This window comes from Homo sapiens, chromosome 15 (assembly GCF_000001405.40).
Source record: "Homo sapiens chromosome 15, GRCh38.p14 Primary Assembly".
Taxonomy (NCBI): domain Eukaryota; kingdom Metazoa; phylum Chordata; class Mammalia; order Primates; family Hominidae; genus Homo; species Homo sapiens.
This window is the reverse complement of record NC_000015.10, coordinates 58,642,105-58,657,068: the sequence shown is the minus strand read 5'-3', so window position 1 is coordinate 58,657,068 and position 14,964 is coordinate 58,642,105. Positions and strand designations below refer to the sequence as shown.

General features: G+C 35.3%; 1 protein-coding gene across 2 annotated transcripts in view; it reads left to right on the top strand.

Moving 5' to 3' along the window:
* Positions 1-14,964, top strand: part of ADAM10 (ADAM metallopeptidase domain 10) — a 160,899-nt gene that overhangs the window by 92,639 nt on the left and 53,296 nt on the right. Inside the window, exons 6-7 of one of the 2 annotated variants that reach the window (NM_001110.4) lie at positions 10,865-11,014; positions 13,091-13,183. In NM_001110.4, coding sequence (NP_001101.1) covers positions 10,865-11,014; positions 13,091-13,183 — 243 coding nt within the window. The remainder of the gene's footprint in view (positions 1-10,864; positions 11,015-13,090; positions 13,184-14,964) is intronic. The other variant, NM_001320570.2, reaches the window with a different exon arrangement.

The following is a 14,964-nucleotide window of genomic DNA, read 5'->3' as shown; positions in this document are numbered from 1 at the left end:
GATAAATTTGGCAGAAGACTTTTCAATAGAAATTTTACAGGCCAGGAGAGAGTGGCATGACATGTTTAAAGTGCTGAAGGAAAAAATTTTTTATCCTATAGCAGTATATTCAGGGAAATAGCCTTCAAACACGAAGGAGAAATAAAAACTTTCCCAGAGAAACAAAAACAGATGGATTTCATCAACACCAGACTTGTCCTACAAGAAGTGCTAAATAGAGTTCTTCAGTCAGAAAGAAAAGGATGTGAATGAGCAATAAGAAATTATATGATGGTACAAAACTCATTGGTAATAATAAGTACACAGAATATTGTGTATCTGTGATTATGGTATATAAATTACTCATATCTTGAGTAGAAAGACTAAATGATGAACTGATAAAAAATAACTCTTCAGGATATAGACACTACAATAAGGCATGAATAGAAACAAAGTTAAAAAGCAGGGGGACAAAGTTAAAGTGTAAAGTTTTTATTAGTCTTCTTTTTGCTTCTATAATTATGCAATCACTGTTGTCATCAGTTTAAAATAAGGATTGTAAGGTAGTATTTGCAAGCCTCATGGTAACTTCAAATCAAAAAACATATGATAGATACACAAAAAATAAAAAGCAAGAAATTAAATCATACCACCGGAGAAAATCAGCTTCACTAGAGGGAAGTCAGGAAGGAAAGAAGGAAGAGAAGGCCGCAAAACAACCAGAAAACAAAAAAACAAAGTGGCAGGAGTAAGTCCTTACTTATCAGTAATAACATTGAATGTCAGTGGACCAAAGTCTCTAATCAAAAGACATAGAGTAGCTAAATGGATTAAAAAACCCCGAAGATCCAATGATCTATTGCATACAAGAAACACATTTTACCTGTAAAGATACACATAGACTGAAAATAAAATGGTGGAAAAAGATATTCCATCCCAGCGGAAACCAGAAGAGCAGGAGTAGCTATACTTGTATCAGTCAAAATAGATTTCAGGACAAAAACTGTAAGAGACAAAGATAGTCACTATATAATTATAAAGGGGGCTGGGCCTGGCAGCTCACGCCTGTAATCTCAGCAGTTTGGGAGGCTGAGGTGGGTGGATCACCTGAGGCCAGGAGTTTAAGACCAGCCTGGCCAACATGGCGAAATCCTGTCTCTATTAAAAATAGAAAAATTAGCTGGGTGTGGTGGTGGGCATCTGTAATCCCAGCTACTCAGGAGGCTGAGGCAGGAGAATCACTTGAACCCAGGAGGTGGAGGTTGCAGTGAGCTGAGATCCGGCCACTGCACTCCAGTCTGGGTGACAGAGCAAGACTCTGTTTCAAAAAAAAAAAAAAAAAAAAAAGAATATATATATATATATATATATATATATACTATATATATATATACTATATATAATATATATATGTATGTATGTATGTATGTATGTATGCAAAGGGATCAGTTCAGCAAGAGGATTTAACAACTGTAAATATATATTAATATAGTTTGGATATTTGTCTCAGCCCAAACCTTCTGTTGAATTGTAATCCTCAGTGCTGGAGGTGGGACCTGGTGGGAGTTGTTTGGATCATGGGGGCAGATCCCCCATGGCTTGGTGCTGTTTTTGTGATAGTGAGTTCTCATGAGATTTGGTGGTTTAGAAGTGTGTGGCATCTTCCCCCACAGACACTCTTGCTTGCTCCTGCTTCCAGCATGTCATGTGCCTGCTCCCCCTTCACCTTCTGCCCATGCTTATAAGCTTCCTGAGACCTCTCTAGAAGCCAAGCGGATGCCAGCACCATGCTTCCTGTAAAGCCTGCAGAACGATGAGCCAATTAAAACTCTTTTCTTGATAAATTACTCAGTCTCAGTTATTTCTTTATAACAACGCAAAAATGGCCTAATACGTATATGCACCCAACACTGGAACACCCAGATATATAAAGCAAATATTATTAGAGCTAAAGAGAGAGAGATAGACTTCAATACAGTAATAGCTGGAGACTTCAATACCCCACTTTCAGCAATGGATAGACCTTCCAGACAGAAAATCAACAAAGAAACATCAGACTTAATCTGCAGTATAGAACAAATGGACCTAACAGGTATTTATAGACCATTTCTTCCAATGGCTGCAGAATACACATTTTTTTCTCCTCAGCACCTGGATCATTCTCAAGAATAGACCATATGTTTGGTTGTAAAACAAGTCTTCAAACATTCAAAAAATTGAAATAATATCAGGTATCTTCTCTGACTACACTTGAATAAAACTAGAAATCAATAACAAAAGGAGTCTTTGAAACTATACAATCACATGGAAAGTAAACAATATGCTCCTGAATGACCGATAGGTGAGTGAAAAAATTAAAAAGAAAATTGGAAAATTTCTTGAAACAAACGATAATGGAAACACAACTTACTGGCTAGGAGTGGTGGCTCATGTCTGTAATTCCAGCACTTTAGGAAGCTGATGTGGAATGATCATTTGAGCCCAGGAGTTTGAGACCAGCCTGGGGTCTATAGTAAGACCTTTTCTTTGCAAACAGTTTAAAAATTAGCCAGGTGTGGTGGTGCATGCCTGTAGTCCCAGGTCCTTGGGAGGCTGAGGCAGGAGGATTGCTTGAACCCAGGAGGAGGAGGTTGTGGTGAGAAAGATTGTGCCACTTTACTGCAGCCTGGGCAACAGAAGGAGACGCTGTCTCAAAAACAAAGAAAACACAACATAACACAACGCGTAGGATACAGTAAAAGCAGTACTAAGAGGAAAGTTTATATAGCTATAAATGCCTGCATCCAGAAAGAAAACTTCAAATAAATGCACTAACAATGCATTTTGCAAGAGCAAACCAAACCCGAAATTAGTAGAAGAAAAGAAATAATAATAAAGATAAGAGCAGAAGTAAATGAAATAGAAATGAAGACAGTATAAAAGATCAAAGAAACAAAAAGTTGTTTTTTGAAATCGTAAACAAAATTGACAAACCTTTAGCCAGACTAAGAAAAAAAAAAGACCTAAATAAATAAAATCAGAGATGAAAAAGGAGACATCACAAGTGGTATAGATGAAATTCAAAGGATCATTAGTGGGTACTTTGAGCAACTATATGCCAATAAATTGCAAAATGTAGAGAAAATGGATACATTCTTAGACACATACAACCTACCAAGATTGAACCATGATGTTCAAAACCTGAACAGACCAATAACAAGTAATGAAATTGAAGCTGTAATAAAAAGTCTTCCAGTAAAGAAAAGTCTGGGACCCAGTGGCTTCACTGTTGAATTCTACCAAATATTTACAATATAACTAATACCAATTGTACTGAAACTATTCCAAAAAATAGAGGAGGAGGGAAAACTTCAAACTCATTCTAGGAGGCCAGTATTACTCTGATACCAAAAGCAGATAAAGGCAGCAAAAAAAGAAAATGACAGGCCATTATGTCTCATGCATATTGGTAGAAAAATTATCAACAAAATACTAGCAAACTGAATTTAGCAATTCATTAAAAAGATCATTCATCATGACTAAGTGGTATTTATCCCAGGGATGCAAGAATGGTTCAACGTATGCAAATCAGTCAGTGTGATACATCATAATGGAATGAAGGACAAAACTTATACGATAATTTCAATTGATGCTGAAAAAGCAGTTGATAAAATTCAAAATCCTTTCCTGATAAAAATGCTCAAAAAATTGCGTATAGAAGGTACGTATCTCAACATAATAAAAGTAATGTACAGTGAATCCATAGCTAGTATCATACTGAATGGGCAAAACCTGAAAGCCTTTTTTCTAAGATTGGGAACACAAGAAGGATGCCTTCTTTCAGCACTGTTACTCAACATAGTACTGGAGGTCCTAGCTAGAGCAATCAGAGAAGTGAGAGAAATAAAGTGCACCCAAATTGGAAACAAAGAAGTCAAAATATCCTTGTTTGCAGATGATATAATCTTATATTTGGAAAAACCCATAGACTCCACCAAAAAACTATTAGAACTGATAAACAAATACAGTAAAGTTGCAGGATACAAAATCAACGTACAAAAATCAGTAGCATTTCTACTGTTGTTTCCAGCAACAAACAGTCTGAAAAAGAGAAGCAATCCCATTTGCAGTAGCCACAAATAAAATTACATACCTAGGAATTAACCAAAGAAGTAAAAGATCTCTACAATGAAAAGTATAAAACACTGTGAAAGAAATCGAAGAAGACAGAAAAAAATGGAAAGATATTCTATGTTCGTATATCGGAAGAATCAGTGTTGTTAAAATGTCCATAATTACAAAAGGCAATGCAATTGCTACCAAAATGCCATTGTCATTCTTCACAGAAATAGAAAAAGCCATTTGAAATGTTTTATGGAACCAGAAGAAACTCAGAATAACCAATGCTATCCTGAGGAAAAAGAACAAAATTGGAGGAATCATATTACCTGACTTCAGATTATACTGTAGCGCTATAGTAACCAAACAACATGGTACTGGCATGAAAACAGACACGTAGACCCATGGAACAGAATAGAGACCTCAGAAACAAATTGATACACCTACAGTGCATTTTTTACAATGGTGCCAAAAACATCCATTGGGGTAAAGACAATCTCTTCAATAAATGGTGCTGGGAAAACTGGATATCCGTATGCAGAGGAATGAAACTAGACCTCTATTTCTCACCGTATACAAAAATCAAATCAAAATGAATTAAGACTTAAATTTAAGTGCTCCACTGTGAGACTGCTGCAAGAAAACGTTGAAGAAACTCCCCACTTTCATGTGGACAAAAATTTCTTGAGTAAAACCCCATAAGCACAGGCAACCAAAGCAAAAATGGACAAATGGGATCACATCAAGTTAAAAGCTGCGGCTCAGCAAAGGATACGATTAACAAAGTGGGGAGACAACCCATAGAATGGGAGAAAATATTTGCACACTACTTGTCTGACAAGGGATTAATAACCAGAATATATAAGGAGCTGAAATAACTCTATAGAAAAAAATCTAATCTGATTAAAAAATGGGCAAAAGATCTGAATAGACATTTCCTAAAAGAAGACATACAAATGGCAAACAGGCATATGAAAAGGTGCTCAACATCATTGATCCTTGGAGAAATGCAAATAAAAATTACAGTGAGATACCGTCTCACCTCAGTAAAAATGGCTTTTATCCAAAAGACAGGCAATAACAAACGCTGGTGAGGATGTGGGGAAAAGGAAACCGCCACACACTGTTGGTGGGAATGCAAATTAGTACAATTGCTATGGAGAATAGTTCGGAGGTTCCTCAAAAAACTACAAATAGAACTACCATAATCCAGCAGTCCCACTGCTGCACATCTACCCGAAGAGATACATCATAGAGATAGCTGCACTCCCATGTTTGTTGCTGCACTGTTCACAATAGCCAAGATTTGGAAGCAGCCTAAGTGTCTGTTAATAGATGAATGGATAAAGAAAATGTGGTACATATTCACAATGGAATACTATTTAGCCATAAAACAGAATTAGATTCTGTAATTTGCGACAACATGGATGGAACTGGAGGTCATTATGTTAAGTGCAATAAGCTAGGCACAGAAAGACAAACTTCACATATTCTCACTTATTTGTAGGAGCTAAAAATTAAAACAATTTAACTCATGGAGATAGAGAGTAGAAGGATGGTTACCAGAGGGTGCAATGAGTATTAGAGCAGTGGTGGGGGAAGTGGGGATGGTTAACGGGCACAAAAACATGTTAGAAAGAATGAATAAGACCTAGTATTTGAAAGCACAGCAGGGCAACTATAGTCAATAATAATTAAATTGTACATTTTAAAATAACTAAAAGAGTGTAATTGTATTTTTTGTAACAAAAAGGATAAATGCTTGAGGGGATGGATGCCCCATTTAACATGATGTGATTTACACATTGCATTCCTATCAAAGTATTATATATCTTATGTACCCCATAAATATATATACCTATGTATTCACAAAATTTAAAAACAAAAAATAAAAAAATTTAATAGATAATGGGCAAAACATTTGAAAAGACACTTCACAAAAGATATTATAAAATATTTTGGATTTTGATCTGGAGAAATGGTTTGAATATGTAAGACTTTTCAGTATAAAAAAGATGAATATATTTCACTATATGAATATTAAAAATAAAAGACACCTTAAAGTGAAGACAAGTTATAAACTTTGTATAAAATTTTATGCTTTCACAATGTATAAAATTAATAAAGAATTGTTTTTAAGAAGTAGAGAACAACTGATTAGTACAACTAATATATAGCAACCTGGCCTGAAAATAAAAATATTTTAAAAATATATGTGTATGTATATTTCCATATACGTGTTTTGTATATTTGTGTGTATTTATTTGAAGGCATTGGAAAGATAACATGACTGTGAAGTAGTACGCGGCCAAGATTTCAGAAAAAAGTATACAGCTAGAATGGTGATACTGGTATTTGGTTCTACCTTTTCTCCAGGTGTGTCTTTGAGTTTCTGAGGAGGTGGCTGAGAGACTGAGAGGGAGAGTAGAACTGTGCAGACACATGAGGCTGAGGATGAAAATATTGTTTAGGATCTGCCCAGAAGAGCTTTTGGTTGGGACCTTGAAGGACTACTCCCTAAGAATAAGGGTATAAATTATAAAATGTTCAGTCTCTCTTCACAGGGATTAAAGTTTCACACCACATCTCAGTCCCTAACTGGATTAAGGTGATCCAGGATTACTAGTGCACCAAGCCTAACTCTGCTTACCAGAAGTGAAAGTAAATCTTTTGAGAAAGGTGTCAATCACAACTTCACATCAAATCTGTGGTTATCCATATACATAGCCTGGCACTCAGTTCAATGTAACCAGTATATGAACAAACAAAACAACATGATGGAAGAACAAGAGAGTCAACTGACAAAGGAAATGGTACCTGGATAAGAAAATTATCTGACACAGACTTTAATATATTCAAGTCATAAAGACTAAATTTAAAATTTTAGCAGAAAATTGAAAATTAACAAAAGAACTTGATGGGAAATTTAGAATTGACAAATGTTAACAACAAAAATTAGGAATTTGATGGATTTAGATTTGGATAGTATAAGAAAATAGAGCAAACTGCTAAGAAAAGGATGGAAAATACAGAAAAGAGCATAAGAGAAATAGATGATACCTTCAGAAGGTCTGATATATGTATTATGTAATTGATGTCCTAGAAGGAGGAAAATGGAGAGTCAAGGACAGGTAATGGCTGAGAATTTTTCCAATGTAACAGAGAGATATCAAACAACACATTCATTAAGCCCTGTAATTAGGGCAGGATAAATGCTTTACACTGAAAACAATACCATAGCACATTATTTGAGAAGTCCGAAAGCCAAAGATATAATCTTAAAAGCAGCCGGTGAGAAAAAGTTTAATCACTCTTAAGCAACAGTAAACATGGCAGCTCATTTCTCATTGGAAGCAGTTAAAAAGACAGAAGACAGTAGGATATGCTGAAACAGAGAAACTGCCATCCTCTAGGATGCTCTACTCAGAAGAATAGATCAAAGTAAAATTAACACATTTCAAATGGAATATATAACCATCTGACACGCTAAAAGTAGTTTTTTTCCTGTTGAAAAGATTGCGGGCTCAAATGCTAACTTGTAGATGAAGTATTGAATAAAGAACACATTAGATAATTTTGAGTATTGACTGTATACTACAAAGCACTAATAGTAAAGACTTGTAGGGTGGTATATATTTGTATGTTGTGTATGTGGATATAGAGGGAGTTAAAATTGGAGTGAGAAAAATGTAATTTAAGTGTTCTGAGGTTCTTTTCTAGGAACAAGTAAATGTTATAATTTATATTTGATTTTGGTAAGTCAAGTATTAGTAAAATATATAACTAACAAGCTAATGGGGGAAGGGATAGAATAAAAATTCAAAATCCAAAACAAGGCAAGAAAGAAGTTAAAGAAGACTATTGAACAGGCAGGACAAATAGAAGATAATAAAATTGGAGATTTAAACCCCAAAATATCTGTAATTATATTAAAGGTAAATGGATTAAATGCACCGATTAAAAGATAAATATTATCAGATTGGATTTAACAGCAACAAAACCCCACAAACTGTTTTACAAAAACTGCTCCTAAAATATAAGGATGCAGAAAAGATGGAAAGTAAAACAGCACAAGATGTAAACTTTGATGACTCTAACAAAAATATGTCTATTATCAGCCAAAGTAGATTTTAAGGCAAAAAAAAAGCATTACTAAAATAGATATGTCATAATGATAAAAAGTTTAGTTCTCCATTATGTTATAGCAGCCTTTAATTTGTATGTCCGTAATATTATAACTTCAGAATATGTAAGGCAAAAGTTGACAAAACCGGAAGGAATAATAGAAAAATCATATGATAAATAAGAGAACAGTTGTACAAAAAATAAAACCCAGTGAAGATATGGGAGAGCTGAACTACTTGATATAATAAACTTGAACACCTTTATGTTATTTTTTTCTGCTTGGAACACTTTTTCATATTTCAGACTGTTTTCTTATTTAAAACCTTTCTTTAAATAGAATTTTCACATTAAAGCATCCAGTTTTTTTTCCTTTGGTCTGGAGTAGAAAATCTTTCACACATAAAACTTCACCATTAGCTAAGATAAATTCCTTTTTGTGTGGAATAACATGATTGTAAATATAAACTGCATTTCACAAATAACATGGATTTGAAATACTTCTCAATGTTTGAGTCATTTACAAACTGTGTAAACTGAGACCTGGAGACCATCTAAATCAAAATCCTGAGTGGAACAGTATTCAAGGTAGGCTTTGGGGACAGTTCCCCCAAATGTTACACTGTTTCAGTAGTGTTGGTACCCATCTATAATACAAATTGTTTTAAAAATAAGTTTTATTGTGTATATATCAGGTATATTACATGATGTTATGGGACACATATAGATAGTCAAAATGGTTACTATAGTGAAGCAAATAAACATTTCCATCATTTCACATAGTTACCCTTTTTTGTGTGTTTGGCATATAATACAAATTTTTCATTTTGTGTATGTTCACATGGAATTATTAAGGGAGAAGGAAATGTCAAGGAAGAAGAAATTGTGACTTAAAATTCAATTTGGGTTCTATATTACTGTGCCATCAAAAATACTTAAGATGATCCTTTTAGGTGTTCACAAATGTTTGACTGGATTCAATAGCAGTGGTAATTCTTTGAAGAAATACTTAATTGAGGCCAGGCACAGTGGCTCCTGCCTGTAATCCCAGTACTTCGGGAAGCTGAGACAGGAGGATTACTTGAGACCAGGAGCTCATGACCAGCCTGGGCAACATAGGAAGACCTCCGTCTCTACAAAAAAATTAAAAAATTAGCCAGGCATGGTGATACATGCTTGTAGTCCCCCAGCTACTTGGGAAGCTTAGGCGGGAGGATTGTTTGAGCCCAGGAGTTTAAGGCTGCATTGAGCTGTGATCATGCCACTGCACTCCAGCCTGGGTAACAGAGTGAGACTCTCAAAAGAAATACTTGGCGGGGGTGGTGGCTCTGTAATCCTAGCACTTTGGGAGGCCGAGGCGGGCGGATCACGAGGTCAGGAGATCGAGACCATCTTGGCTAACATGGTGAAAACCTGTCTCTACTAAAAATTCAGAAACAAAATTAGCCAGGTGTGGTGGCAGGCGCCGGTAGTCCCAGCTATGCCGGAGGCTGAGGCAGGAGAATGGCGTGAACCCGGGAGGCGGAGCTTGCTGGGAGCCAAGATCGTGCCACTGCACTCCATCCTGGGCAACAGAGTGAGACTCTGTCTCAAAAAAAAAAAAAAAAAAAAAAAAAAAAAATACTTAGTGTCTACTCTTTGCTGCCAAGCCTGTGTTAGGTGATAGCATTACAGTGAGGATCAAACAGAGATAATTTCTTCTTTCCAGAACTTACATTCTAGTGGGTGAAGTGGGATGTGGACAGAAATTAAATAATCCCACAAATAAATGTAAGGTTGCACTATGTAAGAGACATTGGTGTATGATTCTATGGAGTGGTATAATGGATGAATTGACCTTCTCGAAGTCTAAGGAAAGAAGGAAGCCATTAACAAGATCAGAAGAGGTAGTGTCAGCATGTGCAAAGACTGGCAGGAGATAGACTGTGTGTGGAGGATTGGAAAGAAAGCTTATATAGCTGTACCACAGACAGCTAGAGTTGGCTAATGTAGGGTCTCTTTGTGAAGTAATGTGGAATGAGAAAAGCTGGATAGTTAAGTAGAGGCTGTGTAATGTTGATATTTAGGGGAGCATATAAAGAATATTGGGCTTAATCTTTTAGAGCAATAGGAAGTCATTGAAATACATTATTGAGGTGGATGACATATTCAAATTTGCGTTTTGAAAACATTGCAATATGGAGAAGAGATGTAAGGCCATTAGTGGCTATTGGTTGATTAAACTGATCTTACTGCAGTACTCTAGGTAACAAGTAATGGTAGCTTGGGCTAGAGTGGTGGAGCCAGAGATAATGGGTAGATACCTTAGGTATTTAGGAGATAAATTTGACAGAACTGGATGGTAGATGGGTATTAGATGTGAGGTAGAGAAGATATCAAAGTAGTATAAGCTATTATACAACTTGCTTTAGATTTAAATGAATACATATTAAAATACATGTTTTGAAAATGTTTAAAAGTGAAGGAGTTCCTTGAATAGATAGTAAATAATCTATATGGAGAAGATTATGAGACAAAGTGATTTTATGAACTTTTAATGGCAGCAGAAATACCTATGGTGTTATATAAAGCAGAATATGAAATTGTTTATAGTATGTATTCTTAATTAGATAAAATGATAGTATTGAAGCATACTAATTGTCAGAAATGACTTTTTGATGTATAGATACCTCAAGAAGAACATGCTGCTAATGGTCCAGAACTTCTGAGGAAAAAACGTACAACTTCAGCTGAAAAAAATACTTGTCAGCTTTATATTCAGACTGATCATTTGTTCTTTAAATATTACGGAACACGAGAAGCTGTGATTGCCCAGGTATTTATGATTATGCGCTATTTTAGTAGTTCCCATATTGTTTTATAATGCCTATTCTTTCCTTTAAAAATTTAAGTTAGTGTATTCTCTTTTTGGGAAAAAGTATGTGTTTTCAGTTGTGATGTGATAAAATGTGTAAGATAAGTACATGGATAACTGAAAGACCAGTTGGGATATTTTAGTGTCAAAAGAGAGGGGTAAGACAATGATTTCCTGAAGGAGATGATGACACTGAAGTTTAGCTTTGGAAAGAGAGTTGAATTTTCATTTGTGGTCTTAAAGGAGGGAAAGTTGGAGGAATCCTTCCAACTGGAAGTATTTAATTTTTTTTCTGTATTTTTATTGTATGTAGCACTTTCTAAGTTACATTATTATTTGTACTTGTGTCTTCTCAACCCTCATTAAAGTATAAATATTTTGAGGGTGCCCTTCAAAATGTCCTTCGTGTGGAAGGTACCCAGTGAGAATTTGATGAATGAACTTTTGACTCAAAGGATTTGAAATGGAGAAGATGGAGGTACGACTAGTATAAATGAATCATTTTGGTGGTGAGGATGAACTTCCTTTTAAACATGTATAAAAGCTAGGTAGTTCTTCCCTTAGGATTTTGAAAATGTGAAACTAGAGCTTGAGGGAAGGGTAGCCTTGAGAGATTGAATGTGGAAAGAATGAAACCAAAGGAGAAGAAATTGGAGCTATCTGTATATGGTGAATAGGTTGAGGAAGAGAAGCTAGTGAGGAAAACATAATAGTAATAAGGTAGGAGATTTTGTAGGATTTACCAAGGAACAAATAAATTTCAAGACAAAATAGCGTGAATTTTATAATGAGCCCTATGAGCAGTTAGGAATTTCATTAGCAGTGTTTGGCAGCGTGGGCTACCTTTGAAATGATTATTGTTAATGCTTTTACTTGACCATCTTGTTTTATGTTTTATGTTTATGTTTTTACAATTTCTTTGAAAATAACTTTGAGACTATACATACATGTTTTCACATAAATGGTAGCAAGAGTACTTTTTGTAAATGAAGTTGGGAAGGTTGTTTACAGAGTGGTTTAGAAGTCAGAAAGTTTAGTTGGGGGTCAGCTAGGTAAACGGATACTTTTGGGTTTATCATCGTTTATCTCCTTGTAGAATTTAGCAAAATCTGAATGTATGTTTATTATATTTGTATTATCTCCCTCCTTTCTTCCGCTACTAAAGTAAGCCTCTGTAAATTTATAGGGACCTTCTGTATTTTGTTCACCACTATATCCCCAGTGCCTAAAACAGTGCCAAGAATATAGAAAGGGGTCAACAAAGTTTACAGAATGTGCAGCAATAGAAGGATTAAAGTCAGGGAATGACTGTGTGTCCTGAGCCATCAGGGAAGTTCTTATAAAAATGTTTGAGCTGAGTCTGAAGGATAAATAGAGAAGGATACTCTACGCATAGGAAATATGTGAAAAGGAATGGACGTGTGACGTTGTAGGATTGGATTGAGGAAACAAAATTTTTATGTGACTGAAACAAGAGTATATGTTTAGGCCAGTTGTGGTGGCTCATGCCTGTAATGCCAGCACTTTGGGAGGCCCAGGTGGGTGGGTCACTTGAGGTCAGGAGTTCGAGACGAGCCTGGCCAAGATAGTGAAACCTGTCTTTACTAAAAATACAAAAATTAGCTGGGCATGGTGGTAGGCGCCTGTAATCCCAGTTGTTTGGGAGGCTGAGGCAGGAGAATCACTTGAATCTGGGAGGCAGAGGTTGCAGTGAGCCGAGATTGCAACACTGCACTCCAGCGTGGGCAACAGAGCAAGACTCTTGTCTCCAAAAAAAAAAACAAAAAAAGAAAAAAAAAAACCGCAAAGAAGTATGCATGTTTATTGTTGGCCAGAGGAGTCTGGAAAAGAAAGTAGAATCTCCCTTCCCAGCGCAGCTCACTAATCTTTTTTATATTTATGTCCAGTATATAATGTTGACATTTTAAAATTTGAATGTGGCAGGACATGAATAATTACTGATTTTGGAAATGGAAATTTATAATCTTTTTCATATTTCAACATTGCCTCTAAAATGTTCTTTTTTTTAAATCATAGATATCCAGTCATGTTAAAGCGATTGATACAATTTACCAGACCACAGACTTCTCCGGAATCCGTAACATCAGTTTCATGGTGAAACGCATAAGAGTAAGGAACTTAAATAGTTAAAAACACTTAAAAAGTGAAACAGTCCAGACTATGTTTACACACACACACAAAAGCTTGCTTTTAATTTTATCTTTATGAATTAAGTAGTTTAGTTTAATTGTATCTGTTGATGCAGTTTTTTACTCCTGGCATTTACACACCCACACACACACAGATACTTGGGTTTATGATTTAAGAATTAAATGTATAAGGTCTTAATCCAGTCTACAGTAGAGGTAAAGTGTGTATTCAGTCTGTCTGATTAACATATTATTAAGAAAGCTCTGACCCTTCAATAACTATGGCTATAGTGCTTGACTTTTCCCCAATTATCCCTCAGTTTCCTAAAATTTGCTTTGTGCAGTGTTTTTCACTGTATGTTCCATTTGGTGTTCCAGGGGAGAAAAAGGATAAATACAGTGTTTAAATAAAATTGGAAGTTGGAAAAACCCTTAGTACTATAATCTTCTTGAAAATTCACAACTCACAGTAACATATATCAAGTTTTGAGAAGTCTTTCAGGAAAGAAACCCATATTTTTCTAAATTTTTGACCATGAAACTTTTTTTTTAGAAAAAATATATTAACATCAACAGATTCCAAAATACTTTAGGCATTTTGAGAAAAGCTGATCCGGAGCCATAGGGTCACGTAGTATGAGTTCTAATGTTATAAATTACAGGTAAATAAATAAATATTAAATTACTGACAAATTTAGGCTATTTTTTCAAAAGATTTCTGAATATTCTAAATATATATGTATAGCTTTTAAAGAAACAGTATTTATATGCTAAATAAACAACCGAACTTAAAAAAAAATCATCCTTTCACAAAAGTATTTGCCACAGGGTTCCTTAATATTTATGCTTTCCTATTTTTCTTCAAATGTGGTTGGATAAAATGTCTATACTAGAGAAGTTTAGTATATACATTCAGCCACATAGCTGTAGGTAGTCCTTAAATTTAGAAGCAGTGTGATTAAATCTTAAATTGGATTTTCTTAAGGTGAAATATGATTTATTGATTTACAGTATAAGAATTGTTCATAATTAATTGCTTTCATGTATTCTGTGAACAATATAAATCCTTAAATGAGCAAGTAACAGTGATAAGAGGTATAAGTGTTGCTGTTTAGTAGGCAGAGCAATAAAATGCAAGTAATGAAAAGTAGAGAGCACCTGAACACATTTTAGTGACGCACCTTTGAGGAAAATGATATGTATTATGAAGAAATGCATGTATATAAGTAAATGATGTGGTAGTTGGTTGTTTTTAGACCTTACCTCTTATTAAAACTTTAGTAAAGTTTTATCTGTTGAAGATTGTTCATAACCTATTAATTTAAAATTTCTGTCAGCTATATTAATAATCCATTTAAATATAGGTAATTAAAATTTAAATGCAATTTGTTTTTTTTTTTTGAGAAGGAGTCTCACTCTGTCGCCCAGGCTGGAGTTCAGTGGCGCAATCTCGGCTCACTGCAGCCTCTGCCTTCCAGTTTCAAGCGATTCTCCCACCTCAGCCTCCCGAGTAGCTGGGATTACAGGCGTCCACTGTCATGCCCGGCTAATTTTTGTATTTTTGTAGATACAGGGTTTCACCATGTTGGCCAGGCTGGTCTTGAACTCCTGACCTCAGGTGATCACCCGCCTCGGCCTCCCAAAGTGCTGGGATTACAGGCGTGAGCCACTGTGACGGGCCTTACATGCAATTTTTATTTATAGCCAGTATTAGAGAATTACTAGGAAATTTCATTTTTATATTTAGTGGGAGAAAGCCAT